This window comes from Homo sapiens, chromosome 21 (assembly GCF_000001405.40).
Source record: "Homo sapiens chromosome 21, GRCh38.p14 Primary Assembly".
Lineage (NCBI taxonomy): Eukaryota > Metazoa > Chordata > Mammalia > Primates > Hominidae > Homo > Homo sapiens.
In genome coordinates, this window is record NC_000021.9 from 45,400,568 (window position 1) to 45,425,339 (window position 24,772).

The 24,772-nt window shown below is 59.7% G+C and overlaps 1 protein-coding gene and 3 long non-coding RNA genes across 7 annotated transcripts in view, besides 13 other annotated features; 1 reads left to right on the top strand and 3 right to left on the bottom strand.

The window, feature by feature from the left end:
* On the bottom strand, positions 3,239-5,795 carry BNAT1 (breast cancer associated ESR1 regulating natural antisense transcript 1). 3 transcript variants are annotated; one of them, NR_183526.1, is made up of 2 exons: positions 5,600-5,795; positions 3,239-3,929 (listed from the first exon to the last, which is right to left on the bottom strand). It is a non-coding gene; the product is annotated as a breast cancer associated ESR1 regulating natural antisense transcript 1 (long non-coding RNA). The 3 variants fall into 3 exon arrangements; NR_183527.1 differs by lacking the exon at positions 5,600-5,795 and adding an exon at positions 4,793-4,973; NR_183528.1 differs by lacking the exon at positions 5,600-5,795 and adding an exon at positions 4,246-4,418.
* Positions 3,753-4,453: an enhancer, noted in NCBI's record as "H3K27ac-H3K4me1 hESC enhancer chr21:46824235-46824935 (GRCh37/hg19 assembly coordinates)". NCBI's record gives its function as "activates a minimal SCP1, AML or CMV promoter by ChIP-STARR-seq in primed H9 embryonic stem cells {active_cell/tissue: H9 hESC(primed)}" and the evidence as "EXISTENCE:reporter gene assay evidence [ECO:0000049][PMID:30033119]".
* The window catches only part of COL18A1 (collagen type XVIII alpha 1 chain), a 108,556-nt gene continuing 88,381 nt past the window's right edge, over positions 4,598-24,772 (top strand). The window contains exons 1-2 of the mRNA NM_001379500.1: positions 4,598-4,674; positions 4,812-4,906. Coding sequence (NP_001366429.1) covers positions 4,664-4,674; positions 4,812-4,906 — 106 coding nt within the window. The 5' untranslated portion in view covers positions 4,598-4,663. The remainder of the gene's footprint in view (positions 4,675-4,811; positions 4,907-24,772) is intronic.
* Positions 6,819-9,498, bottom strand: COL18A1-AS2 (COL18A1 antisense RNA 2). Its single transcript, NR_052004.1, has 4 exons — positions 9,381-9,498; positions 7,890-7,996; positions 7,441-7,532; positions 6,819-7,053 (listed from the first exon to the last, which is right to left on the bottom strand). It is a non-coding gene; the product is annotated as a COL18A1 antisense RNA 2 (long non-coding RNA).
* Positions 7,393-8,184: an enhancer, noted in NCBI's record as "H3K27ac-H3K4me1 hESC enhancer chr21:46827875-46828666 (GRCh37/hg19 assembly coordinates)". NCBI's record gives its function as "activates a minimal SCP1, AML or CMV promoter by ChIP-STARR-seq in naive H9 embryonic stem cells {active_cell/tissue: H9 hESC(naive)}" and the evidence as "EXISTENCE:reporter gene assay evidence [ECO:0000049][PMID:30033119]".
* Positions 8,185-8,977: an enhancer, noted in NCBI's record as "H3K27ac-H3K4me1 hESC enhancer chr21:46828667-46829459 (GRCh37/hg19 assembly coordinates)". NCBI's record gives its function as "activates a minimal SCP1, AML or CMV promoter by ChIP-STARR-seq in naive H9 embryonic stem cells {active_cell/tissue: H9 hESC(naive)}" and the evidence as "EXISTENCE:reporter gene assay evidence [ECO:0000049][PMID:30033119]".
* Positions 12,620-13,243: an enhancer, noted in NCBI's record as "H3K27ac-H3K4me1 hESC enhancer chr21:46833102-46833725 (GRCh37/hg19 assembly coordinates)". NCBI's record gives its function as "activates a minimal SCP1, AML or CMV promoter by ChIP-STARR-seq in naive H9 embryonic stem cells {active_cell/tissue: H9 hESC(naive)}" and the evidence as "EXISTENCE:reporter gene assay evidence [ECO:0000049][PMID:30033119]".
* Positions 13,867-14,490: an enhancer, noted in NCBI's record as "H3K4me1 hESC enhancer chr21:46834349-46834972 (GRCh37/hg19 assembly coordinates)". NCBI's record gives its function as "activates a minimal SCP1, AML or CMV promoter by ChIP-STARR-seq in naive H9 embryonic stem cells {active_cell/tissue: H9 hESC(naive)}" and the evidence as "EXISTENCE:reporter gene assay evidence [ECO:0000049][PMID:30033119]".
* Positions 14,491-15,114: an enhancer, noted in NCBI's record as "H3K27ac-H3K4me1 hESC enhancer chr21:46834973-46835596 (GRCh37/hg19 assembly coordinates)". NCBI's record gives its function as "activates a minimal SCP1, AML or CMV promoter by ChIP-STARR-seq in naive H9 embryonic stem cells {active_cell/tissue: H9 hESC(naive)}" and the evidence as "EXISTENCE:reporter gene assay evidence [ECO:0000049][PMID:30033119]".
* Positions 17,982-18,736: an enhancer, noted in NCBI's record as "H3K27ac-H3K4me1 hESC enhancer chr21:46838464-46839218 (GRCh37/hg19 assembly coordinates)". NCBI's record gives its function as "activates a minimal SCP1, AML or CMV promoter by ChIP-STARR-seq in naive H9 embryonic stem cells {active_cell/tissue: H9 hESC(naive)}" and the evidence as "EXISTENCE:reporter gene assay evidence [ECO:0000049][PMID:30033119]".
* Positions 18,737-19,491: an enhancer, noted in NCBI's record as "H3K4me1 hESC enhancer chr21:46839219-46839973 (GRCh37/hg19 assembly coordinates)". NCBI's record gives its function as "activates a minimal SCP1, AML or CMV promoter by ChIP-STARR-seq in naive H9 embryonic stem cells {active_cell/tissue: H9 hESC(naive)}" and the evidence as "EXISTENCE:reporter gene assay evidence [ECO:0000049][PMID:30033119]".
* COL18A1-AS1 (COL18A1 antisense RNA 1) lies at positions 19,149-24,503 on the bottom strand. 2 transcript variants are annotated; one of them, NR_027498.1, is made up of 3 exons: positions 24,317-24,503; positions 21,845-22,094; positions 19,149-21,052 (listed from the first exon to the last, which is right to left on the bottom strand). It is a non-coding gene; the product is annotated as a COL18A1 antisense RNA 1 (long non-coding RNA). The 2 variants fall into 2 exon arrangements; NR_028082.1 differs by having other exon boundaries at positions 23,203-24,473.
* Positions 19,492-20,247: an enhancer, noted in NCBI's record as "H3K4me1 hESC enhancer chr21:46839974-46840729 (GRCh37/hg19 assembly coordinates)". NCBI's record gives its function as "activates a minimal SCP1, AML or CMV promoter by ChIP-STARR-seq in primed H9 embryonic stem cells {active_cell/tissue: H9 hESC(primed)}" and the evidence as "EXISTENCE:reporter gene assay evidence [ECO:0000049][PMID:30033119]".
* Positions 21,003-21,757: an enhancer, noted in NCBI's record as "H3K4me1 hESC enhancer chr21:46841485-46842239 (GRCh37/hg19 assembly coordinates)". NCBI's record gives its function as "activates a minimal SCP1, AML or CMV promoter by ChIP-STARR-seq in naive H9 embryonic stem cells {active_cell/tissue: H9 hESC(naive)}" and the evidence as "EXISTENCE:reporter gene assay evidence [ECO:0000049][PMID:30033119]".
* Positions 23,526-24,123: an enhancer, noted in NCBI's record as "H3K4me1 hESC enhancer chr21:46844008-46844605 (GRCh37/hg19 assembly coordinates)". NCBI's record gives its function as "activates a minimal SCP1, AML or CMV promoter by ChIP-STARR-seq in primed H9 embryonic stem cells {active_cell/tissue: H9 hESC(primed)}" and the evidence as "EXISTENCE:reporter gene assay evidence [ECO:0000049][PMID:30033119]".
* Positions 24,124-24,722: an enhancer, noted in NCBI's record as "H3K4me1 hESC enhancer chr21:46844606-46845204 (GRCh37/hg19 assembly coordinates)". NCBI's record gives its function as "activates a minimal SCP1, AML or CMV promoter by ChIP-STARR-seq in primed H9 embryonic stem cells {active_cell/tissue: H9 hESC(primed)}" and the evidence as "EXISTENCE:reporter gene assay evidence [ECO:0000049][PMID:30033119]".
* Positions 24,181-24,390: a silencer, noted in NCBI's record as "fragment chr21:46844663-46844872 (GRCh37/hg19 assembly coordinates)". NCBI's record gives its function as "represses an EF-1alpha promoter that drives an FKBP-Casp9 reporter gene in an ReSE screen in K562 erythroleukemia cells {active_cell/tissue: K562}" and the evidence as "EXISTENCE:reporter gene assay evidence [ECO:0000049][PMID:32094911]".

Genomic DNA, 24,772 nt, shown 5'->3' on the forward strand with positions numbered 1-24,772 from the left:
ACTACCATTTTCCCTTTAGATAGTTGGCATTTGCAGCAATTACAATTTTTAATTATTTCTTCCATTTCTATACTCTATTACTCTTCATGTCTGAAGGAAATAATGTATACAGTGGTCCAATTCCAAGACAAAGTGCCTTGAATTGGCTTAGGTCAGCAAACTGCAGAAGAAACAGGATATCCTAGGCCCCTGCTCGGATAGCCAACACCTGCTTCTTGGCCTCCCCCTTCCCCCCTTAATTTTTAAAAGTTATTTTCACTAGTAAAGAATTCTGAATCAGGCCACGAGTGGCAGCTCACGCCTGTAATCCCAGCACTTTGGGAGGCCGAGGTGGGCAGATTATGAAGTCAGGAGATTGAGGCTGCCATGGCTAACATGGTGAAACCCCATCCCTACTAAAAATACAAAAAATTAGCTGGGCATGGTGGCAGGTGCTTGTAGTCCCAGCTACTCAGGAGGCTGAGGCATGAGAATGGCATGAACCCGGGAGGCAGAGCTTGCAGTGAGCTGAGATTGCGCCACTGCACTCCAGCCCGGCCGACAGAGCGAGACTCCGTCTAAAAAAAAAAAAAAAAATCTGAATCAGCACTTTTTTTTCCTTTCAGTACTTGAAAGCCATCCCTCCATCATCATCCACCTTGCATAGTGTCTGCAGATAGTTCTGCTGTGCTTCTTATCTTGGTTCTTCTCGCGTCTCATGTGTCCCTCTCCCTCCCTTCTCCTCCCAGTTCCTTTAGAGAGTTTCTGCATGTCTTTTTCCCCAGCTGCTTGAATATGCACAGGTTTCTGTGCTTTTTTTTTGTTTCTGTTCTATTTTGTTTGTTTTACTTTTTTGCTGTTTTACCTGATGGATGTTGTCTGAGTTTCTTTAATCTGTGCTTTGATGTCTGTCATTGATTTTGGAAAATTATTGACCATTATTTCTTCAAATATTCCTTGTCCACCCCCTCACCATCTGTGATTCCAATTGTATTATGTTACACTACTTGAGATCGTATTGTAATCCCTCGGAAACACGCTCTATGTTTTTCCTCTTATCTCTTTGGTTTTCCATTTGGATGATTTCTATAGAGCTATTTTCAAATTCATGGATTTCTTTGGCTAAGTCAAGTTTACTGACAAGCTTCTCAAAGCCATTTTTCATCTCTTTTACTGTGTTTTCATTTTTAGCATTTTCATTTTGTTCTTTCTCACAGTTTCTATCTCTTTTCAAGACAGCATATTATTTTAAGCAAAGAAATGGAAATAAGCTAAGTCTCATGAATGGTGGAAGAATTGACAAATAAGCTAAGTCTCATTAATTTTAGGGAGACTTAGCTAGTTTCATTCAATCATTTATGTAAATGTGTTCATCCTGGCATAGAAAGAGCTAGAACAGAAATTGAGCTTTAAAAGCAAGTTTCAAAACCATGGATATTATCTCATGTATGCTTTGTTTTTAAAATTCCACAAAGCAACATAATATTTCTAGAGTAACAAATATCTACAAAATGCATTTTGTAAAACAGCCTGGAAGGAAAACCCACAGAAGATGATAAGGGTTCGGTTTGGCAGGAGGCAGGGTTGGGACTCCAGCTTTACTGGTCACATGTGGAGTTTTTACAGTGAGGTTGTGTCCTGTGTGAGCTATGTGTCTTCAGACAACTCACCCTGTGATTGGGTGGATGATGCGGCAGAGAAGGGAGCACAAAGGGCCCTGGCAGGTGCAGGTGGAGGCAGGGCTGAGGCCAGGTCTGCTCTATGTCAAGAGGAGTGCAGCCTCTCACAAAAGCTGAACAATTCCTAGGCTCCTGCGCACTGCGGGTTGTAACCACGGCCCGGGCAGCTCCTCTGAGCCTGAGTGCAGCCCCTTCCCTGTCTGTACCACCTCTCCCTGCAAACCCATCAACCCCATCCCAGGCCCCACCTGCCCAGGAAGCAAGACAGACACCTGTGGTGCAGGCCCCAGACTTGAGGAATCTGCTACCGCTTCTTAGAACCCAGACACGGTCCTAAGCCTGCTCCACCTGCTCCACCCCAGGACCTCTGCCGGAGCTGCCCTCGGTCCTGGATGCTCTCTCCTCCCTGCGCACCCCACAGCCCATTCCTCCACAGCCCATGAGCCCTCCCCTGGTCCCTGCAATGAGCCATGGCCACTCCCCTGCTCCCCACACCTGTGCTCCAAGGCCCCCCAGGGACCTGGCACGTCCGTCTCTTTGGGGGCACTGGTTTGAGCCTGCCCCTACCAGAGGGCACAGAGCCTCCAGGACCCTGGTGGAGGGACAAACAGGGCCGAGCAGAGCTCCATGTGGACGCTGGGCGCTGCCCTCAGAGCACCTGCAGGCGTCTGTGCAGAAGGGCCCGGGAGGAGGTAAGGCGAATGGAGAGACTTTTGGTCTTATTTTCTACGTGTGTTTCTGCATTTTCTGTTGATTTTTCTGTGGTTATCACATATTACTCGTGTCTACAAAGGAAACAATACAACTCTAATAGAAAGAGGGGATGCTACAGAGCCTATGGGGACACAGCCATGAGGCCAAGGTAAGGCCCCAAGTGAAACGAATGAGCAAAAAGAGTTCGTACAGCTACCAGGTAAGCAGTCACATGTGTTTCATAGTAGCTGTGTCTCCTACTGATCACACCCCCATAGTCCCCAAAGGTGGAGAGTGGGGCAGGAGAGAGGTAGGCCAACTCAGGCCACAGGTGGGCTGGCACCCGCCCTGCCCCAGCCCCTCCCTCCTGGGAGCCGCAGACAGGCCCCCAGGGCAGTGCATCAGGCCACACCTGCAGAGACCTGCTTCCCCTGGCAGCAGGCACCTGCCCTGACGGAAGACTTAGGAATGGGTTGGGTTGGGTGGAAGTGGTGCCCCAGGGCAGGTGAGATGGAAGAGGTGAAAGAGACCTGCACTGCAGGGTTAATGGACAGGGGCCAGACAGACCAGGAGCCTCGGGAGGAGAAGCCACCAGGACCCAGGACACATGAACACCCCTGACACACACTCACACGCACACAGGCTGACACACATGCACACACTGTACATAGTTACAGAAACACACACATGCACACACACAGCACAGAGAGACATGCACACACATGCACACAAGGTACGGTCACAGACACACACACAGCAGACACACAGACACACCCACTGCACTGCAGAGACACCACCAAACCCTGATAGACACACACAGACTCACTCCTCCATCCACCTGAGAAACAAAAGTTTTGCAGAAGTGTGCGATGACCACTTCTACTCTATGCTGTTCTCCTTAATCTTTTTATTTTTAAAAAATGTGGGTCATAATCCTTTACATTGATTTCCTTCCTCACAGTGCACCGCAAGCACTCAGGGAAGGACTCCAGGTTTGAAGGCAGATGCTGGTCGGGACCCGACCAGGTGGCTGGGCGGGAAGAGGTGAGATCGGGCAGGATTGGGCCTGGGAAGGCTGAGGCAGGCAGGGATGATGCCAGCAGAGGAGAATCCCAAGCAGGCCCCGCGGCTGCGGCTGGAGAGCTCCAGGGGCGGAGAGGAGGTGGGAGGCAGCAGTCAGGTTGGGAGGACCCTGGCAAGCAAGCCCAGAGAGGAGGGCCGGGAGGGCCGGGCACTAGAAGTGTGAAGTCACTGCTGCCTCCTGGGGCTGCTTCAGAGGATGGGTGGGGCCACGTGTGGGGAGATCAGGGAGACTGGAGACTACGCTGTTTGGTCCAGGCATAGGAGATGAGCCCTGGCCGGGAAGGGACAGTGTGGATGGGCCAGGCGGAATCAGAGGGTTTCAGAGAAAGCCGTCAAGCCAGTGCCATGAGTTTCGCGCACACGAGGAGGGAGCAGGCTGGGGGGTGTTGCTGGTGTGAGGGCTCTCTGGTTGCAGGGAGCGGTCCGGTCGGGTGGGGGCACAGCTGCCAGGAGGAAAGCGCCCAGGGCCTGCAGGTGGGGCTCAGGATGCTGGCCCTGAAGAAATAGAAACAGGGTTTTCACCTGGGAGGGAGGAGGAGCCTGGGAACTGGGGAGGAAGAGGCTCTGCTGGGCCGCGCCCTGGGAACAGGGGGACCTGGGGACAGATCTGGCCCTCGCACGCCCCTCCTGTCTCGCGTCCGTCCCTCCGTGCAGCCGGGGCAGGACCCTGCAGGGGCCTTGCGGGCCGGAGGTGCCGGCTTCCTCCTCCGTCCCGTCCCCCCCGCGGTGACTCTATTCAAATCTCCCCCCTTCCCGCTGCCCCACCGGACTCAGGGGCTGGGGTCGTAGCCCGGCGGGCAGCGGTGTTCACCTTCCGCATAAACCTGGGCTTCCTCGCGGGGCAGCCCCCGGGCCCTGTGCTGGGTCGCAGCCTCGGGCGGTTCCCTCGGGGCGGGACGTGTCCCCGTCCGTCCTCGCCCGTCCCCGCCGCCCCCGGGTCCCGGCCCGCCCCGTCCTCGCAGCCGCAGGTCCGCTGCGGCGCCCGCCCCCCTCTCCCCTCCCCGGGCCTTGCCCTGCTCGTCGCTCCGCCCCCTGCCCGGCCCCTGCCCGGCCCCGCCCCGCGCCCGCCCCCTGCCCGCGCCCGCCCCGCCCCCTGCCCGGCCCCTGCCCGGCCCCTGCCCGCCCCCTGCCCGGCCTCCCAGCGGCGGCGGCTGCAGCGCGGCGGTCCGAGCGGGTGCACCGCGGCGGAGGAGGCAGCATCCCGCGGCGCTGACGGTCCTGGGGAGAGCATGGCGCCGAGGTGAGGCCGGGGCTGCGGGCAGGGGTTGGGGGACGCCAAGATGCGGCTGCGGGGGTCGCGGGGGTCGCGGGGCTCGGCCGGGTCCTGCGGGGGTCGCGGGGGTCCTGCGGGGTCTGACCCGTGCCTGTCCCGCGCAGGTGCCCCTGGCCATGGCCGCGGCGGCGGCGCCTCCTGGACGTGCTCGCGCCCCTGGTCCTGCTGCTCGGGGTCCGCGCGGCCTCCGCGGAGCCAGGTAAGACCCGGGCGGGACGGGAAGGTTCGCGCCGGTGCCCGCCGGCCTCGCCGCCCTGGCTGGGGTCCCCGCCCGGCTCCCTCACCCCCGCCCCGGCCGCTCTGGGTTCAGCCCCGGCCCTGCCCACGCGCGCAGGAGGCGCCGGAGCCGGACGGAGCGGGGCGGGGTGGCCGGAGTCCCGCCCATTCATTCTCCCCGCGGGGTCCGGGCCGGGAGGGGTGCGCGGTGCGAGCGGCCGGAGTCCCCGCGCGGGGACCGAACCTCCGCGGCCGGCGGGGTCGTCGGTGCCGGGAGGGCTCGGGGCGGGGCCGCGGGGTCTCGGGAGACGCGGCCTCTGTCGCCGTCACGGCCTCGTCCCCGCAGCGCCGGGTCCCGGGACTGACCGCGGGCGGAAGGCGGCGGAGCGCGGGGCGTCGTCTCCGCGTTTCCAACCTGTTGAGGCTCCTCGCCGCGGGCCGGGCCTTGTGCGCCTCTGTCCCCGCCGCCCTCAGGCCTCTGTCCCCGCGCCCGCCGTGGTGTCGGGTTGCGCGGTCCCCTTTGATGCCAACCGAGCGCCGCGCGGTCCGAGAACAATGCCCAGAAGCCGCTGCCCCGCCGGCCTCGCCGCTTCCCGTGCGCGGCAAACGGTGCGCGGGGCCCGTGGGGACCTTCCTGCCTCCAACCCCGGGACCCAGTTCCCCACCACCTGCTAACCGGGGCCTCCTGCCTCCAGCCAGCCCAGCAGAGGCCCGGGGGAGGCGGCGGGGACGCGGACCCCAGGGGAGCCCCGCCCAAAGGGCCTGGGTGCCTTGTCGCGGGTGGAATCCCACCCGGGGGTCCACGCAGCCAGCGCCTGCCTCCGACTCGACTCCACACCTGCTTGCTACAGCGGGTGAGGAAGCAGGAAAGGGGGAGGGAGGGATGTCGTCTGGATTCCTGTAATAATTTGTTTCATTGTTTCCAATCGACTTAGTCACCAGGTTAAATAGTAGCATAGACCTTTCAAAAAAGTAGCTAGCTTATAAGTAGATGTATTGAAAACACCTGCTTGTTGAGTCGTAGACAATTCCTCATTTACTGTGTGAACTCTAGGGGGTGAAACACGGGCGGAGAGCGGCTGTGAGCTCACGCGGCTCCATCCCCACAGCGGCCCAGGGTCACTCGGGGCCATTAATCAGGCCGCAGAGCTGCCCTCTGAGCCGGGCCGCCAGCGCCCACAGGGCCCAGACCAGGGCTCCCTGGGCGGGATGTTTTAAATCGCACAGGGACAAAGGAAAGGAAAGACGCTGGGGCCCAAGCCCGAGCTTATGAAACGTTATCAAGGAGGAGATGTAAAAGGTGATGGTTTTTTTGCCTTTGAATAGAAAAAACAAAAACTGTTAACGCGAGCTTTGGTGAGATGCAATCTTGAGATCTAAGAGTGGGGTGTAAAGTCAGTGCAGGCCTCAGCAGGGAAAGTTACGGTTGGCCAAATGGGCTGTGCGTTCCTCTTCTGTCCCGGGCCTGCCCCAGCCTCAAGCACTCTGGGGCAGGAAGGCCCCTTGGAGGTGTCTAATGGAATGTGGAAGGCGGGTGGCCAGGAGGCTGAAGCGGAAGCAGGCCCAGAGAGGGGTCTGCATGCTGCCCACACACCCCTCCCCCAGCCCGGAGAGAACTCAGGCTCCAGGCCACCCGCAGCCCGGGTTCCAGTCCTTGCAGGACCAAGTCCCCCTGAAATGGGAAAACAGTCGCCCCCTTTAGGGGTTATTGGAGAAGAGCTAATGTGTCTGAAATGCTGACTCTGGCGAGGGTTTCAGTTGTTCTCAAAACTTAAAAAGCACCCTTGAGAGTTGAAGGCCTGAGGCCCAGTTTGCTGATTTGCACATTTTTTTCTGGCCAAGAATGATGCATCTTTCCATGTCTCTGTGCTACACTTGATCCCTAGAAAAGTCTTTTGCTTTTTTGTGTCAGGATTGGTCGCTGTGATGCTGAGGTTCTTGAATGGTGTTTGTGCCTTTCCCTGTAATCAGGAACCTGGGCTCAGTGGTCACTTGGCCGCTTGGTTGCCACCCAGCTGTGTGAGGTGCCGCAGTCTTACCTGCAATCTCTCCTCTGGTGGATTTGTGTGTGCGAAACAGCCGTGACCCCCAAGAGGTGCTTGTAGTCAGTGCTTCAGAGTCAGAGTGGAGCTGAGGAAGAGGACTGTGTCACCGGGGCAGTTGCTGATGCCCATGGCCACGCCAGGAGCCTGGTCTCATGAGTCTCCTTGTCTCTGAGCCTCTCCTACACTCCACCATGGCATCAAGCTCTACCCCTGCCTCCCTGCAGCCCCCAGAAGATGCATGTCCTGCCCCTGCTCACCACTAGGACCTCCTCCTGTCTGGTGGTCAGCACAGAGCCCAGTGATGTGGGTACAAGGCAGGGTCCCTGCGCCTCACTTCCCACTCCCTCTGAAGCCCTGCAGGGATTGGGCTTCAGTGACCTGGGTTCCGTGGGTGTGGCTCACCCCAGGGCACACGGCGCCTAGGTAACGAGAGACCCTCCCGCGTAGAAGGTGGTCTTGTTTCTGGGCTCACCCACTGGGGAGTCTTCAGGATTCAGATGCAAGGACTTTGGAAGATAGTTTTGAATTTCAGCAAAACTTGTTTTTCAGGGCACTCCTGTTTTCCTGTAAATGAAAGCAGAGCAGGGGAAGTCCTCTGTAGGAAAACCTAGAAGGAGTGAACTGCCCTGCTCCAGAGTGCAGGCGCCAGACACTGGGGGCCAGTCCAGGAGAGCCCCACTTCACCTGCTGCTGCTCCATTTAAAAGTGCAAGGCACATGCATACACGGGCATGCACAATTGTGCACACAGGTGCACATTCCCAGTCACGCGAAGTGCAGGGGCACAACTGTGTACATGCACACACACACAAAAGTGCACATGTGTGTGCACACACATGCCCCCCGCAGGCGTGTGATTCTCACAGTCATGCTGCATCCACACAAAGTCTTCCTCCCTCAGAGTGCCTTGTTCTGTCTTCACCTGGATTGTTGAAAAGGCTGGGGGCTGGGTTCTTTGGGCCCCGGGAGTGCCAGGGGATCCTGTGGTATGATCAACAGCACCACCGCCCTGGGAGCAGCTCCTGATTGCTGGGAACAGACAGTAGGGGCTGGGCTGGGGTAGAAGCTGCAGCCTGCAGGCAGCCCAGAGAGAGGGGCCCCCACAACACCCTCCCCAGCCCCCGCTGATTGTGTGGGGGCAGGGAGTATGCAGGCAGCTCGGAGAGAGGGGCCCCCACAACACCCTCCCACCCCCGCTCACTGTGTTGGGGGAGGGGTGCCTGCTTCTGCTCAGGAAGGAGACCCGGCTGGGTCTGGCTGTGGAGCGTATGTTGGAGACCCGAGGCCACCCTGGAACTCTCCAGGTGAAGCCTAGGGATCCAAAGAACCTCACAGCTGTGGGGGATGGAGTGGGGCAACACCTGAAACCTCCAGCAAGTCTCTTCCTCTCTCAGCCCCAGGCCTGCAGAGGAGGGTGTGCCAGCCAACTGGGCCTTTGTGCCGGCACTGGCTCCCCACCAGTGCTCAGGGGTCAGGTGCAGAGGCTGGCAGGGACAAAGCTGGCTGTGGCTGTGTCTGGAGGGGCTGGCCATGGCCCTCACCCCACCCCCGGCATGGGGCACTGGACCATGCAGAGAAGGGGCCACCCCAGTGCCTGCCAGGGCCAGTCAGAGCTGCCACCCTCCAGGCTGTCTGTTAGCGGGTGCCTGTCAGAGAACAAGACGACAGGCCTGGCCAGGCCCAACCCCACAGCGAGATTTCAGCGGCTGGCCAGTGGCAGACGGCGCAGGGTCTGAGACAGATATTCCCTCGTATGGTGCTGTGCAGGGCAGGGGCAGAATCCTGGGAAACTAAAATGCATGTTGGGCGCCCTTATACGATGATGATATTTGGTACATTTTGAAATACTGTGGCCCATGAAGATCCTGAAAGCAGTTTGGGGCACTGTGGGGTGTTCTGTGGCCTCTGGGCTTGGGTGCTCCTCTTATCCAAGGCCTCCCAGGCCTGGGAGTTTGGGGTCTAAGGCCCTTTTCAAGGCCCAGGCACCTGCCCAGAATGACTGGGCAGCTGAGACCCGCCTGCTGGGAGCCTTGCCAGGGCCAGCACTGGGCGGTCACAGGCCAGAGCCCTGCACCAGGCGGTCATAGGCCAGGACCTGTCCAAGGCAGCGGAGTGCCAGGCAAGTGAAGCCCTGCCATCTGGTGCCTGAGCGCAGACCCTGCTCCACGGCCAGTGGCTGTCACCAGCCTTGCTGCCTCAGTTTCCCCTCCTTAACCCCGGGGCGGGAGTGGCTGCTTCCTCTAGGGGTTCTGTGAGCGGCCGCTGGCAATTGTGTAAAAGCCACATACCACACACTGGATCTTTGTGCCAGATCCCGTGTCACGTGAGGAGACAGCCAGCCCAGGCAGGGAGCTGATCTGTGTTGTCCCCTGGCGCTGCCCGGGGCCACAGAGAGTGAGGGAGCGGTGCTTACCGGCCCTGGCGGTAACGTTTTAGATGGCGAGTTTGGGCCTCTGCAGAAGGGCTGTCAGGAGGAGCTTTTGATCACGGATGCGCTGAGTCAGATGAAATGTGGAGGCTGCAGGGGAAGTGTCTGTGCCCCGTGCCTGCAGGAGCACGCCTTCCCCCCGCAGCTCCTCCGGCGCGGGCAGGCCCCGGCACGGCCTTTCTGGCTTCTTCCACAGGAGCCGTGGAAAGGGGAATTATTCTCAAGCCCCTGCATCTTTCTGGCACTTTCTGGCATTTCATGGTGGCAGATGGGGTCACCTCGCCACCTCGGGGCTGATCCCCTGTGGGCCCCTCGTTCCCACAGGAGCCTTGTGATGGGCAGGGCAGGCACCAGCACCAGGCTGGGTGGCGGTTTGGCTCTCACCACGCCGGCTTCCAGAAGGCCAGCAGGCTTGCGAGTGGGCACACGCTGGTGCTGGGGCCGGGCACTGGTGGGGGGTCAAGGGCTGACCCTGCGGGGACCCCTGCAGACAGACACTGGGCCAGAGCCACAGGGAGGAAGGCCAGTGGGAACGGCAGGAGGAGGGAGCGTGATTGGTTACGGTGGCGGAACTCGCACCCACCCCCGCAGCCGTTTGTTCGTTTGCTCATTTATTTTTGGTCTGAAGTCCATGCTTTTGTATTTCCCCACCGTTCCGTTGAGCAGCTTCAACATTTGCCGCAGTTAGGCCTCTCTGGAATCTGTGCTTAGAGATTGTGAGACAGGGTCAAGTTTCAGCAGCTCGGACTCCTCTGTCTGCAGAGAACCTGCCAGCACAGCTGCTCCTGGGGGCAGGAGAGGCACTGTCTGTTTTGGGGTGACGTGAGCTGATGGGAAAGCCAGGCTGGACATAGCTCCTGGGCCGGCAGCCCATCTTGGTGGCGGCTTCACGCCGTCTGGCATCTCCGGTCCTGGAGCATGAGGGCTCAGGAAGAGCCTCTGATTCGGCTGCTCTGGAGGCCTCGTCTGGACACACCTGGGCAGGCCCGAGTCCACACACCCTATGGCCTCAGGAACCGAGAGAGACCTTCCTTCCATGTTTCAACTTAGACAACAGGAGACTTTGTTTTGGGAGGAATCACTCAATTCAGGTGGACGCTGCAGCTGGGCGGGACATCTGGCCTCTCCCTGTGGCAGGGAGGGGCATGGGAGAGACAGGGGTAGTGTCCCAGGAACTCCGTGGGCCTGTGGCGAAGTCCCAGCCCTGCAGCTGCCAGTGCAGGGTGTTATCCAGGGGCAGGACATCGTCTGCAGTGGCTCTGCCTTCCCCGATGCCAGGTGACCCCATGGAGCCAGTGTCTGTGACCTCTTCCATGCTGGGGCTAAAGAGGCCAGCAGGATTGGGGGCTGGCATTAGTGGAGAACCTCAGAGCCCAGGGCTGTGGGCTGATGGGTGGCGAGGCCCCCGCCAGCTGCTTGGGGATAGCCCAGCCACTGTTCTTGGTCCACCCGGCCTTTGATTCCTTTTTCCTGTGTGCATTTTTGAGCACCTTCTGTGTGCGAGAGGCCGTGCCTGCCCGAGAAGAGAAGGAAACACCACAATGAGCCTCGGACACCCACAGTCTGAAGGGCCCGGAGTAAGCCTCAGACGCCCACAGTCTGGAGGGCCCGGCGCTGTGAACGAGCAGTCACAGGGAACAGCGTGCCCTTATCGCTGACACAGGCTCTGGAGGGCCCGGCGCTGTGAGTGAGCAGTCATAGGGAACAGTGCACCCTTATCGCTGACACAGGCGAGGGCTTCGTCTTCTCACAGCTCTTATCTTGGGTGTCACCCCAGCCAGAGTCAGGGCTGATGGCGGGGGGTGGGGGGGGGGCAGGCTGTGGTCAGGGACCTGCAGGAGAGGGGAGGGCCTCGCTTCTGATGGGCGACGTTCATTTACACACAGCTCTGCGGCCCAAACGGCCAGGCTGGATCCTGTCTTTTAAAAACCTTGCTAATTTGGTTGATGGAAAATATCATCTCAGAGTTCTGTTTTGTGAGTCCCCATTGCCATGCGGGCAAACATTTTCATCCACTAAGGGGCCGTCGTGTTTCTCTGGGAACGTGGCGTTCACCGTGTGGGTGAACTTTTTCACGCACTAAGGGGCCGTCGTGCTTCTCTGGGAATGCCGGGTTTGTGGCTCGTGCCCACTGCCCTGCAGGTGCATTCTCTTTCCCCGTAGCTTTTTGTCTGTTGATGCTTTCAGCTCTGGATGTCCTATTTTGCGTACTTTTATTGTTTATGGTCAGCCTTTAACTGGGGGTATGATATTTCTTTAACTGGGGGTATATTTCTTTTTTTTTTTTTTTTCGAGATGGAGTCTGGCTCTGTTGCCCAGGCTGGAGTGCAGTGGCGTGATCTTGGCGCCCTGCAACCTCCATCTTCCGGGCTCAAGCGATTCTCCTGCCTCAGCCTCCTGAGTAGCTGGGACTACAGGTGTGGGCCACCACGCCTGGCTAATTTTTTTTTTTTTTTTAAAGTAGAGACGGGGTTTTGCCATGTTGGCCAGGCTGGTCTCAAACTCCTGACCTCAGGTGGTCCACCTGCCTCGGCCTCCCAAAGTGCTGGGATTCCAGGCGTGTGCCACTGTGCCCAGCCATGGGGTATATTTCTTAATGTGTGGAGTTGTTTTTCCTCATTTTTCTGGTCCCTTTAGAGATGGCACCCTGGAGTGGCCAGCAGAGCTCAGGGGCCTGCGGCCCAGGCACACAGACAATGGAGCTGGCCCTGCCACTTTGCTCATCTGTGGTGCAGGTCTGCTGAGGGGCCGTGAGGGTCCTGCAAGTGAAGGTGCTTGAGGCCTCAGTGCCTGTGGGGAGGCCACGTGGCACCTGTCAGCTGTTAGCGTCTTGACTCTGCCTTTGTGGATATGGAATTAGAGATGCTTCTCACAGTAGTGGCTAAACTGTCAGGAAGCCTGGCCGTCATCTATGGTCCTCTTTGCCCTCATGGGTGGGATGCCGCCTAGTGTGATGGCTGAGAGCTCAGGCTGTGACCCTGAGTGTGTGTGGCCACGGGCAGGCTGCTCACCCTCTCCGTGTCTTGGTCTCTAATCTGTGCCTGGGGATGGTGGAGCGTCATGGGGCCATACAGGAAGGATGGGACATCACACATCGGCTTCCTGGGGTGTGTCCTGCTGACAGCCCTCTGAGGCCAGCCGGTCCTGAGGCTCTAGGGGGGACGCCACAGTGGAGAGAGGGCTCCATCCCCACCCTTAGGGCAGAGCCCCGTAGGAGGGACTGGTTTGCAACGTGAGTAAAATGGGTCCCCGTGAGCAGACACAGCTTTTGTGCTGCTTCTTACTGAGCCCCGCGCTGTGCCTGCTGAACTGAAAGATGTGTATTAGAGAGGGCAGCCATTCCCACCTCCTCCAGCCGCGCTACGTGTCCGCAGGCCAGGGCGCCTGCACCATGACAGGCTTCAACGCCCCTGTCGCGGGGACCCAGGGAACACCTGTCTCCTCCACTTGCTGGATTTGTGACTGGGCGGCAAACATTTTCTAAAGTCTCCCGCTACGACCCCTCGGCTGTCAGGAGACTTCTGAGAAAGCCGGGCCTCTTTTGCCCCAGCGAGGAGCTTTCTTGTGAAGAGGCAGTTCCCGGAGGGAGGCGTCTGTGCTTTGTAAAGTTTAGCCTCATGTGCTGCCTCTGAGGAGGAGTTCAGAGAACATCCGCTTCCTTTCTGTTATCATCTCAGCCTTCCAGCCAGAAAGAAGGAAGCGTCCATGGATCCCGTCCACGCTAACCTTGGGGTCCCTCTGCCAGCCCTGCACATCCTTGTCCCTGGGCACTGAGGGAAGCAAAGGCCCCGCCAGCCATGCCCAGCACTTGTGCCTGGGCCTTTGCAGAGGCTAGAGGCAGGGTAGAGGATGGAGAGGGTTTAAAAGGCAGGTTCCCAGGAAATTCCCTAGGTGTGGGATTGGAGGGGTGCTGAGGGAGGTGGCGGACCCTCAGGGGCAGGAGCCTTATGGAGTGAGCTGGTCCATGGAGCTGGGAGGCGTCTTCTAGTATAAATTCTCATTTCAGCTAAACAGCTTGCCCTCTCCAAGCCCGTGTGCACCTGAACCATCTCTGCTCTCTGAGCCTTGGTCCCTTGGAGGAGCAGGAGGAGGTGGAGGAGGAGGATCGGGAGGAGGAGGGGGAGGCCCTTTCTGTATTGGATGCACCGCCTGGCCCCAGGCCCTCCTGCCCAGCCTTGTGGCTCTGGCCGTCAATCAGCTCCCTTCTCCTGGCTTTGCTGCTGCCCTGCCTCTTGCTAGGAGGCCATGGTGTGCCTGTGCCTGGCAGGCAGTGTTGCTGCTGACCTCTCATCTGTTTTGGGTCCCCAAATCTCAGCCCTGTCTCCCTTTCGGGGGCACATCTTGATGCGGGGTCTCTGATCCCCTCGGGGCAGCAGGACATCCCTGTTTTCCAGCTGAAATGAGACTTCACCCCCAAAGGAATGGGCTCCAGTCCGACCTACTCAGGTTGTTAGTCACACGTTTCTATTGTGAAAATGACTGAGAATGTTGTGGGAGGTTTGGAAACCAGGAAGACCACCTGTCCCAATTCAGCCTTTCCTGTCATCACAGGGGACGTCTGGCATTTTAACAGACCTGGGCGGCCTCCTGCAGACAAGGCTCGGACCCTGCGGCCGACTCTGCCCCAGGCCTGGCCCCTGCTGATGGCCATGCTCCGGGCATGTGGCCTGAGGGCCTCACGGACAGCCAGCCTCCCAGACCAGAAAACAGCCCTGCCCGCCAGTGAGAGGGCAGACAGATGGACACTAATGTCCCCGAACCTAAGAAACAAAACCCAAAACCCTCATTTATGCTTCCACTTCCGATCACACGCATAGAAGGCCGAATACTGACCCCGAGCTGACCACCCCGGCCTGTGGGACCCGTGAGTATGGCCTGTGTGTGGGATGAGGCTCAGGATCAGGTGCAGATGACCCTGGATTATCAGGTGGGCCCCACGTCATTACGAGGGTCCTTATAGAGAAGGGGCAGGACAGGGAGAGGAGGGGATGATGGAGATGGAGCCGCTGGGGAGGGCATGAGAAGACCAGGAAGTGGGTTCCCCCTGGAGCCTCCAGAGGACCCCTGCGGGCACCGTGACTTCTGACTTCCAGTCTCCTGAGCTCTGAGGGATGCCTGTGTTGCTTTAAGACACTGACTGACTTGTCCCAGCAGCCAGAGGTGACAGTGCGGCGTGGTGTTGGTTCACCGAAGGGGTGGCATTAGTGACCATGGGAATAAGGGCCTCTCACCTGCGAAGGGCCACTCTGTGGGGCAGGAAGTCTTGGATGTGTGCCGGCTTCAGCAGGACCCTCAAGGCTGCTGGGGGTCAGAATACGAGCACTTCCTGCACACCCAGGGCCACCCCAGGCTGCAGGCTTTGTGGAGACTTAAAGATGAGTCCTCGGCCTTCGGAATCTCCTGACTCAATGGAACCTCTGGTCTTCAGGTCCCCAGGATGACCTCCCAACAGGCCCAGGGCAGCAGCCAGGAGCTGGACACCCAGGGCTCAGAGCTCAGGACCGGCTGCCACGGGTGGGGCAGGAGGAGGGGCAGGACCATGCGCAGGGGCGGCGGAGCGGGGCTGTGAATGGAGCCCCCCTTCCGGAAGATGGATGCAGGTGGGAACCAGCGTGGTGTGGAGTTGAGAGCGGGGGTGCGGCAGGCGGCCGGGGCAGGCCCCGGACGGGAAAGTGCAGGCGGTGCCATTGATCAGACCCTGGCTGGGGGCCTGGGGTTCACGCCTTGCCTGGCCTTCAGAGAGGTGCGAGCTCTACTTTTGGAGAATGAGGCAAAGGCGCAGAAGCACTCCCGGAAAGTGCCATCCAGCCCAGTGCCTGGCGCTGCAGCCGGGTGGAGCCCCAGGTGGTGCTCACGCAGCCAGGCGGGCATGGTGTGTTGGGGGTTTTCATAAAGAAAAGCTGACCAGGCACGTGCCAAGCAGGCCCTCAGCCCTGAGGGTACTTGCCGGGGGCCGGGAGAGTGTGGGCCCCCGCTTATCCAGAACACTGCGTGGGCCCTCGGCTATCTGGAATGCCTCGCCGGGCCTTTCAATTATCCAGAACACACAGCCAGACCCCTTCTGTTATCCGGACTGCCCAGCAACACCGGGCAGGTATGCCTCTGTGACCCTGACCCAGCTGAGTTGGGAACGTGGCCACACCGGCCCTTCCTGTGGGGCCCGTGAAACCTGTGAATCACGCCTCTCATTGGCATCTGGATCGTGGCTCCCTAGACCCGGCTTTTTAAACCTATTCTTGGGGAATGGGGACCTTCTCTGAGGTCCATCTTGGTCAGGAGCAGTAGGGCCGGCCAGCCTGGATCTCTGTCCTGCAGCCCACTTTCTGGCCAGGAGACTGGGGCAGCACACACAGTCTTGCCATGCCCAGTGTCCTTTGTGAACTGGGGCCGGTGTGGGGGTGGCCGGGGCACAGTCTCCCCACGCCTGGTGTCCTTTGTGAACTGGGGGTGGTGTGGGGACCGCGAGGCTCCGCACTGGTGTGGGGGTGGCCGGGGCAGGGCGGTGTTTGCTTGGATTCAGAAATCCAGGCCCCTAGGTGTTGAACCTGAGGACAGTGTGCTCTCCTGGGCCTCGGTCCGTCCTCTGTGACCTGGTCACCCAGCATCTCTTAGATTTCCTCTGAGGACAGTGTGCTCTCCTGGACCGCGGTCCGTCCTCTGTGACCTGGTCACCCGGCATCTCTTAGATTCCAGCTTAGGCTCAGCAGGTGCTAAATATTAGTCAGATTGGAGCTGCATGCTGACTAGCACACAGTTTCTAGTTGAACTCCAGAGGTGCAGCCTCTACTCTCCCACTTGATTGGAAGCAGCACAGCTCACTTTGCCTGGGTCTTTTATCCCCAGCCCCAGCGCCTGCCCCTGACAACTCTTCCCTTCCCTCGTTCTGCATATGCTCGTTCTGCATATCCTCGTTCTGCATTTCCTCGTCTGAATTGCAAGCTGGTCTTGCTCTCGAGAGAGTGACAGTGCTTTCAGTGTCAGGTATGTTTTCTTGTTCCGTGAGTTTTCAGATATTTGGAAGCAGCTAATTTGATCTTTACCCTTCTGTTTTCAGCAGAAATAATTCTAGTTCCCTAAGTTATTTTTGTTAAAGGGCTTTTCTGACTGTCGGTGTTCTTGGTTGCTTTTGGTTGTGGCGGGTTGCTGTTTAGATAATGTGTGTTTTGGGAAATGATCTTCCCAAAGGTGGTGCTGGGATCCCGGAGAGCCCGCCCAGATTCCCCAGGAGCAGCTCCTACCCTCACTGCCAGACCCTGCTGGTTTTTGTATTTCACGTGGACTCACCTCCTGGCTTGTCAGGGCCTTGTGGGATTCTTAGCCTCTTAATGGATACGAATGGCACCGGCTTGCCTTACCTCCTTCTGGCGCTTGCTTCTCTGTGCTTGTGGGCTGTTCCACTGTAGTCTCTGGATTGGCCCCCGAACGTGCCTGCCTGCTGTGCAGGGATCCCTGGGTTCCCCGGGGCTTGGGGCCCTTTCACCTGCAGGTTCCCTGTCCTGCGGTCTGTGGCTTGCTCAGTGTCCTCAGGTGTCCTCTTCCGACTCGAGGGTCTCACGGGTGCCCCCGCCCTGCCTGGCCCAGCTGCCCTCTCTGTGGCATTTCTAGGACCGCGGTCTCTCTGGCATTCTGTGTGCCAACTTCTGCTCCCTCCAGCTCCCTGATGGGCTTTTCAGCACATCCAGGACCTGTGCACCAGGCCTGTTAATAACAACGGACTGTGGGGTGACCGCTCTCGGCCGGGGGATGTGGTTTGGCCCAAATCCTCTGCATCCGTTGTTGTAGCCACTGTGGTCTGGGCAGAGCTGGGCCCTCCATCCTGGGTGCCACTCCCATGAAGTGGTGAAGGAGGTGCTGCTCTGTGGAAAACGCTAAGGGTGGGGAGAATTGCACCGTAGGGAAGAGAGAAAAGGGGGTTCTGGCCTCCAACCTCCTTCCCCAGGCCCCACCCACAGCGCAGCTGGCAGCACTCTGTGTCTCCGGCCTCTTCCATCTCCCCAGACACGTCTTTCCTGGGAGGTGGCCTTGGCATGGCCAGTCCTGCTGCCGCAGGAACCGAGAAGGGCAGGTGCCTGTTCGTTAACGTGTGCCGCCCCCGGAGCGCTGGCTGTGAGTGGGGGCGCCTGGCGTGGGGCTGGACGGCCAGGGCCTGCTGTCTAGATGTGCAGTGACAAGACCCTTCCCTTCCAGGGGAGCCGGCTCTGACTCCGAGCTCTTTGTGGGCTGCATCTGCAGATTGAGGACAGCGCTGAGCGGAGCTGGCCGGGTGCTCATCCCTGGTGGGGGCAGAGGGGTCTGCATCCCGGCCCCCGGCTGCCGAAGTGGTAGGGTGGGCGTGCCCTTCCCACGCCTGCCCGCCAGCATCGCTGAGGGTCCCCGAGCTGGGGAGGGATGTCTCTGGCAGGGCAGCTCAGTGCTGGGCTCATTCTTCCCACGTCAAGGCAGCCGTCCCTTCTTGGTGGTTTCCCTTGCTTTGTGGCAGGAGCTGGTGGCCTGGGAACAGCTGCCGGGTGTTTAGATGAATTCCCGGGCTGGCTCTGGGGCGGCGCTTGCCCGGTCACTTGTCTGCTGCGATCACTGCAGAGGCTGCCTCCTTGCTGAGCCTCGGGGTGCTCACCGGCGGTTCCCACCTGCTCTGCACAGCCCGCCTCGTGCACCTGCTGACCCCACCGTGTCCACAGCCCGCCCTCCTTGGCTCACATCTCTTCCTGGGGTCTCAGGGAAGCGGCACCTCCTCAGGGGCCTCCCAGCCACCTCACGTCACTTCCTGGGGTCTCAGGGCAGCGGCACCTCCTCAGGGGCCTCCAAGGCTGTCTCTGCTTTAGCGTTGGGTTCCCGGGTCCCTCCCACCCCGACCTCCTGTGCCTGCGGCCCTGCGAGGCGTGATGGCCAATACACACCCTCTAGAGGGGCTTGTGTCATGTGGAACCAGCCAGACCCCCCGGACGGCTTGCAGGCAGGGAGATGGAGAAGCAACCCCTCCATGGGGCAGACAGTGCCATAGTCTTCACCGCCTCAGTCTGGGGGCATCAGGGCTGCAGGTCAGCTCTTCCCTGTCTTCAGTAAAGGATGGACGCGAGGACCAGGGTCCCCAGTGTCAGTGGCGGGTCAGGGATGCCAAAGTGCTGAGCAGAAGTTGGCCAGCCCTTGCCAGAGGCTCTGGAGCTGGGCCCTGACACACGATGCCGTGTGTAGTGACATGCAATTCCATGTAGTGACGTGATTCCGTGTAGTAAGGCGATGCCGTGTGTGGTGACGTGCAGTTCCGTGTAGTGACGTGATGCCGTGTGTGGTGACATGCAGTTCCGTGTAGTGACGTGATGCCGGGTAGTGACGTGATGCCGTGTAGTGACGCAATGCCGTGTAGTTACATGATGCTGTGTGTAGTGATGCGCGATGCCGTGTGTGGTGACACGATGCCGTGTGTGGTGACACTTAATGTCATGTAGTGACACGCTCGCAGGATCGCCAAGGCCAGGCTGGCTCCAAAGGCTTGGGTCTGGCTTCCTGGGGCCACTGGGTGCTCTCTGAGGCCGCCCATCACTGTTCGGGCCCTGGGGTGGGAGCTGGGCTGCAAAGTGGCCTGGACTTTATGTCCTGCCAGGTACAGTGTTTCCCTCAGCAGATTTATCAGGCGTTTTGGGTGTAAATGCCAGGAAGCCTGGCTGGCGCTGAAGGACCCTCCTCAAAGCCACGGATGGGCACCATGCTTAGGGGAGGACCTGGGGCCACTTGGTTGCATTGTGAAATGTTCATGATTTTTAAACAGTTTTATTTTTTAAAATTACTGAAGTCCAACAGGAGCATTATTCAGCATTTGAGGCCCCAGCCAGTACAGCGCTGCCTGGAATAAAAAGTAAAATGTCCCCCGGAACCCCAGCCCTCAGTTCTCCCTCCCTGGACCCCCCTCCTGAGAATCTTCTCACAACCTTGGCTTACTGACTCCACATTACGGCCGTGTCCCCGCTCTGTGGCCCGGTGGACGCAGGTAGCTTTGACTCAAAACAGGAATTTGTTTCCATCCTTTCATGGTCACAAATAATAAAAAGCAGCTTCTGGACAACAATGAAGTTGAGATAAATACCAGGACCAGACCGGCCACGGGAGCCGTGGGTGAGCCGAGGGTCCCCCTCAGGACCCCTGCATCCTGCCTGAGTGTGCAGCAGCTCCCCCCGACAGGAGCGTCAGGGCCGGTCTCCTCCGAGTCTCCTGGCAGAGGCGTTGCTGTCGCAGCTGGCACTGTGCATGGCTGGCAGCAGAAGTCTGTGCTTGGCAGCCCTCGACACCTGCTGGATGTGTTTGCAGGGCTGGGCAGGCACCTGTCCCACGGCCCAGCCCCGAGGGTCTCGTGGCACCAGCCTGGCAGGACGGGCAGCAGGGAGTTAACGGGAGCCACTGCGAGGACACTGTGATCTCAGAGCTGCGTCATCGCTGATGGAAGAGGTGACGTCCCCTCCACAGAAAGCGCCTTTGTGGGCGACCCTGGCTCGTCCCCCTGCAGCCCCCACGCAGGTAGTGGGCTGCCCTCTCCCTCTCCCGGAGTCCCCTCGGGGCACCGAGAACAGACCCCTCCTTCATCCCTGCTGTCAGCTCATGACACCGGACAATTTGGGTCCCAATTATATCTAGAGAACCAGGGGAAAGGTCACGTTGTCTAGACATTAATCCAGCACTGTGGCATTTTTTCCTGGGCCTGTATCCTGGCAACAGGAGGGCGAGTGGGGGCCCCAGCTCCTCCCCTCCTCAGAACCTTCTGGGGCTGGAGGTGTGGCATGTGCAGGGAAGGCAGCCTGGAGAAGGCGGTGCCCTTGGGCTGGGCCTGCAGTGGGCAGCCATGCAGGACTCCATGGGAGGAGAAACCACAGCTCTCGGCTGTGCTGGGGTGGGGTGAACAGTGGCGGGGAACCTTGGGGAGCTGTGGATGGCCCAACCTCATTGGAAGCTGTGCGTGGCCAAGCTCAGGCACCTGCTCTGCCTCTCCCAGTCCTGCCTGTGTCTGTCCTGGTCACGGATTCCTACCTCTGTCCCAGGAGGGTGTGAGGACAGTCTGTGCCACTCACCCGTGTCTGCTCCGAGCCAGGAGACTCTGGCCACCCCCACCCCACCCAGCCCTGCCTCGAGGTCCTGCACTGGTCCCTGCCCGGTACCGGGTCAGCTGGTGCCTGCCTGTCCTGCCCTGCACTCCTCAGGCTCCTCAAGGACAGACGGACAGACAGGCACTCTAGAGAAGGGACCTTGGCCAGACGGCTTTGCCGCCCCCACCCCCATAGGTGCTTGCTTTGAGCCCCTTGCAAAGGTGAAGCCAGATCTGGGATCCCAGGGCCTGGTGCGGCTGGACATGGGAGGAGGGCCACGGTCACGCTTGCACGGGGCAGAGACTCCCAGAACCACAGGCCTCAGGAGAGCTGGGAAGGGAAGGAGAGGGCACTGCGGTGCCTGGAGAGCCAGAGTCCGCCCGTGTGGAAGTGTTGGGGGCTGTGTTGCAGTGACAGCCCTGGCGTCTCAGGAGCGGAGCAGGACACCGCGTTTCTGGCTGTGCAAGGCTCCACGCGGGTCAGCAGCCCATCCTGGCTTGTCATGCTGTTAATTAGATTGGAAAACCTCGGCCTTCCATTTCTTAAATTGCTCACTCCTGCAGTCCTCTTCTCTTGCCTGCAGGCCTGGAAGGTGTGGAGCGGGTCAGGTGGCTGGCAGGTTGCCAGGAAGGAAGCTCACACTGTTTCAGGGTTGGCCGGGTACTTGCCGTGCCTGCCTGGCACAGAGACCCTCATTCCTGCCACCTCCCAGGCAGTAGGCAGCCAGGTGGACCACCGAGTGGAGAGAACCTTTGAACACCTCAGCACCTGAGGCTCAGGGCCCTGTGACAGGACACAGCCCGGGGTCCCCCAGGGCCAGTTGCACCCCTCTGGAATTCCTGAGCACTGTGACTGTGACCTGTGTCATATGTGCGGCCTCTCAGCTTGCAACCCTCCATTCCTGCCTGTGGTGTGGTGCCATCTTCACCCCATTCCATGCCAACACACTCACACAGACACACGCTCGGGCCGATACGCACACATGGCTGTCACACACACAGGTTCACAGACACACAGGCTCACGCACACACAGGTTCACATATACACAGCTCACACAAGCTCTCACACACACACGTTCACACACACAGGCTCACACATACAGGTTCACATACACATGGCTCACACACATGGGCTCACACACACACACACACATGCAGGCACACACAGGCTCACTGTGAGGTTTAATCTCAGCAAAGTCTGAGCACCTGGACTTGGCTCAGGGACCCTGGCACACCCGCTTGCTCTCTGTCTGTAGAGGGGCAGGAGGCCCTGGGTTTGGTGGGCTCTGTCTGTAGAGGGGCAGGAGGCCCTGGGCTTGGTGGGCAGGCATTTGGAGTGCGATGGCGGGGCCTCGCCTGTGGGCACTGAGGGTCTCACCTCTTCCTGCAGCTTTTGAAGGGATGGGAGGCTCCAGGATAGAGTTGCAGGACAGAATAGATGGCAGAAGCCAGGAGCCGGGGCCTTTGCGTGGCTGCCTGGCCTGACGCACCTCGCGCCGTGCCAGGACCCGGGCAGGGCAGCAAAAGGCATCTGTGAGTCGCCGTCCTGTGCGGGTCTCAGGGCACAGTGGGTGGCACGGGCTCTCCCAGCCGTCGGTTGGTGAAAAACGGGGCCTCCGCCCAGCACCCTGCCAAGGAAAGGGGAGGTAGCGGCCCCAGGTCAGGCCACTGGGTGAGGCGGGGCTGTGGGCCTCCTGGGTGGAGGGGCCTGTTCTTTGGGAGACCACCTGGTGGGTGGTGTCAGGAAGGTCCAAGTGGCTTTTTTTTTTTTGAGATGGAGTTTCACTCTTGTTGCCCAGGCTGGAGTGCAATGGCATGATCTCTGGTCACTGCAACCTCCATCTCCTGGGTTTGAGAGATTCTCCTGCCTCAGCCTCCCGAGTAGCTGGGATTACAGGCATGCACCACCATGTCCAGCTAATTTTTTTGTATTTTTGCCCAGCTAATTTTTTGTATTTTTAGTAGAGACAAGGTTTCTCCATGTTGGTCAGGCTGGTCTCTAACTCCCGACCTCAGGTGATCTGCCCGCATCTCCTTCCCAGAGTGTTGGGATTATAGGTGTGAGCCACCGCACCCGGCCGAAGTGGTTTTAATGTCCCCACTTTTGACCACTTCTCCTTCTCCATAGGGCAAATCAAGCTTGGAAATGGTGTCCTGGAGCTTAAGGGAGTTGGAAACCATGGCTTATGTTCCATGGTGACATGGTTCTTGAGGGTTAGCTGGTCCAGTTCCCGCGTGTTGGCCGGTCTGGTCCCTGAGTGTTGGCTGGTCCACTTCCTGAGCGTTGGCCAGCTGCCCTTGCTGTGCTGGGGTACATTCCCCGAGCTTCCACAGTTTCCCTTTCCTTGCTGCTGTATTCAGTGATTTGCAGAGAGAAAGGCGTGGAGCTCCACAAGCACCTCGGACGGCAGCAGGACCCTCCCAAAGCTGTGTCCACACACAGCTGGGCGCCCGCCCCCCGCCCCCCGCCCCCCGGAGGGCCCGGCTCCAAGGGTCATATGAGTGGATCTGGAGGTCGGCCTCTCTTGAATCCCAGCCTCCTCGGGGTCAGCCCAGGTTGTCCCCACCCCCACCTGAGTTACTGCGGAACCAAGGGGCTCATGGCCATTGAGTGACTCCAGTTAATGCTGAATTAGGTACCTCAGGCTTGAGTCAAATATTAACAGAGGAGGCCGGCCAGAGCTCCCCAGTGTTTGGAGGATAGCTTGGTTTTCTCCCTGAGTGCATTGCCCATACCGGGTGGAGGCAGTTCCGTCCTGCAGACTCCGTGGTTCTGAGTTGGAGCCCTTACTGGCCAGTTTAAGACCCTCTTGGAGCAGGGTTCTGCAGTGTCCTGGGGGCAGAGGCCTGACGCACTCAGCTGCTCGCCCAGGGCCCTCCTGTTGGGCATTTGGATTTGGAATCTGAGGCTGTAGGAGCAGCTGCCTCCCAGTGAATTCTGATGCACAGACAGGGGCCTGTCCTGCCAGCAGGTCCTGCAGACGGAGCCGGGCCAGGGTGCTGGGCAGTGCTGCGGGGCCCTGGTGGAAACAGTCCCTGCAGAGGGTCCCGGGCACTGGTGCTGGGGGGAGGGTAGGGCTTAAGGAGGCCTCATGTCGGGACCCTGGCAGGCCACCCCACCTCCCGCAGTGCCCGGTCCGCCATCCACAGTGACACAGGGACACCTTCTCAGGTGGAGGAGGTGGCAGTCACGGCAATTCAGGAGCAAACCCAGGCTTCCTGTGCCTCTGTGGTGGGCCCTGGTGGTGTTGGCAGGCCCAGGGCACAGGCAGGCTCAGGGCTCTGCTGGGGAGCAGTGGGAGGCCCTCTCTGCAGGGCGGAGAGCCAGGTGAGGAGGTGTGTGGCGCAGGTAAACACGCCTGGAGCGCAGCTCTGCTGTGGGTTAGCCGTGGGTCTCTGGGCGAGGGTTCCCGGGATACAGACACCTGCCCCAAGGTGCCCCACAGAGGATGACCCCCAGGGCAGCCGTGCCTGAGCCTGCGTGGTCACCTCCCACAGTGCCAAGGCGCTCCCCCAAGGCCCCTGCGGCCCACCTGACCAGTGGAGAACTCGCGAGCACTCGGCCAGTGGTGCCTCCAATTTGCAGCCTCCAATCCCTGGTCAGAGGTGTGACCTGACCCTGGACCAGAGCGCTGGGCCAGGTCCTGGTGGCTTCTGCCCTTCAGCTTGGAAGCTCCTGAAAACCGGCTCCCTTCCGGGGCAGCCCTTGGCCCCCACTGACCCTCCCTCAGTCCTAGGTGTGCAGTGGCGTGGGGACCCTGGGAGGCCCGTGGCGCAGCCCCTTCCCGCCTCCTGCCCGTCGGTTTCCATTGCTCAGGCACTGCCTCGCCCGCGCCTCTTTCTCCCAGACCTGAGCCACCGCTGCCAGGATCCTTCCCCAGCTGGTTTTCCTTCTCTTTGATGTGTTTCCACTGAGGGTCCAAACCGGTCCAGGCGCGGGTTCCAGAACTTTCTTCAGATCTCTCGCACCTGAAAATTTCCTCTGTAGCCATTCGCAGGAGGTTTCTCAGATGCCCCGGGCTCGGGGGCCAGTCAGTCTCATGAGGACGGGGTGGGTCTGACTTGTGGCATCGCGGCCTCTCCATCGGTGCTGCTGGGCCTGTGAGCCAATGGGTGGGCAGCACCACCCACCGCCTCCTTCCTCACACCAGTCTTGGGCTGCGCAGAGCCCCAGCCATGTGTGTGCTGAGTGCAGTGTGACCGCGTCCGCCCGTCTCCCCGGACACGCCTGTTGGAGCCCCGGCCGTGTGTGTGTGTGTGCTGTGAGTGCAGTGTGACCGCGTCCACCTGTCTCCCTGGACACGCC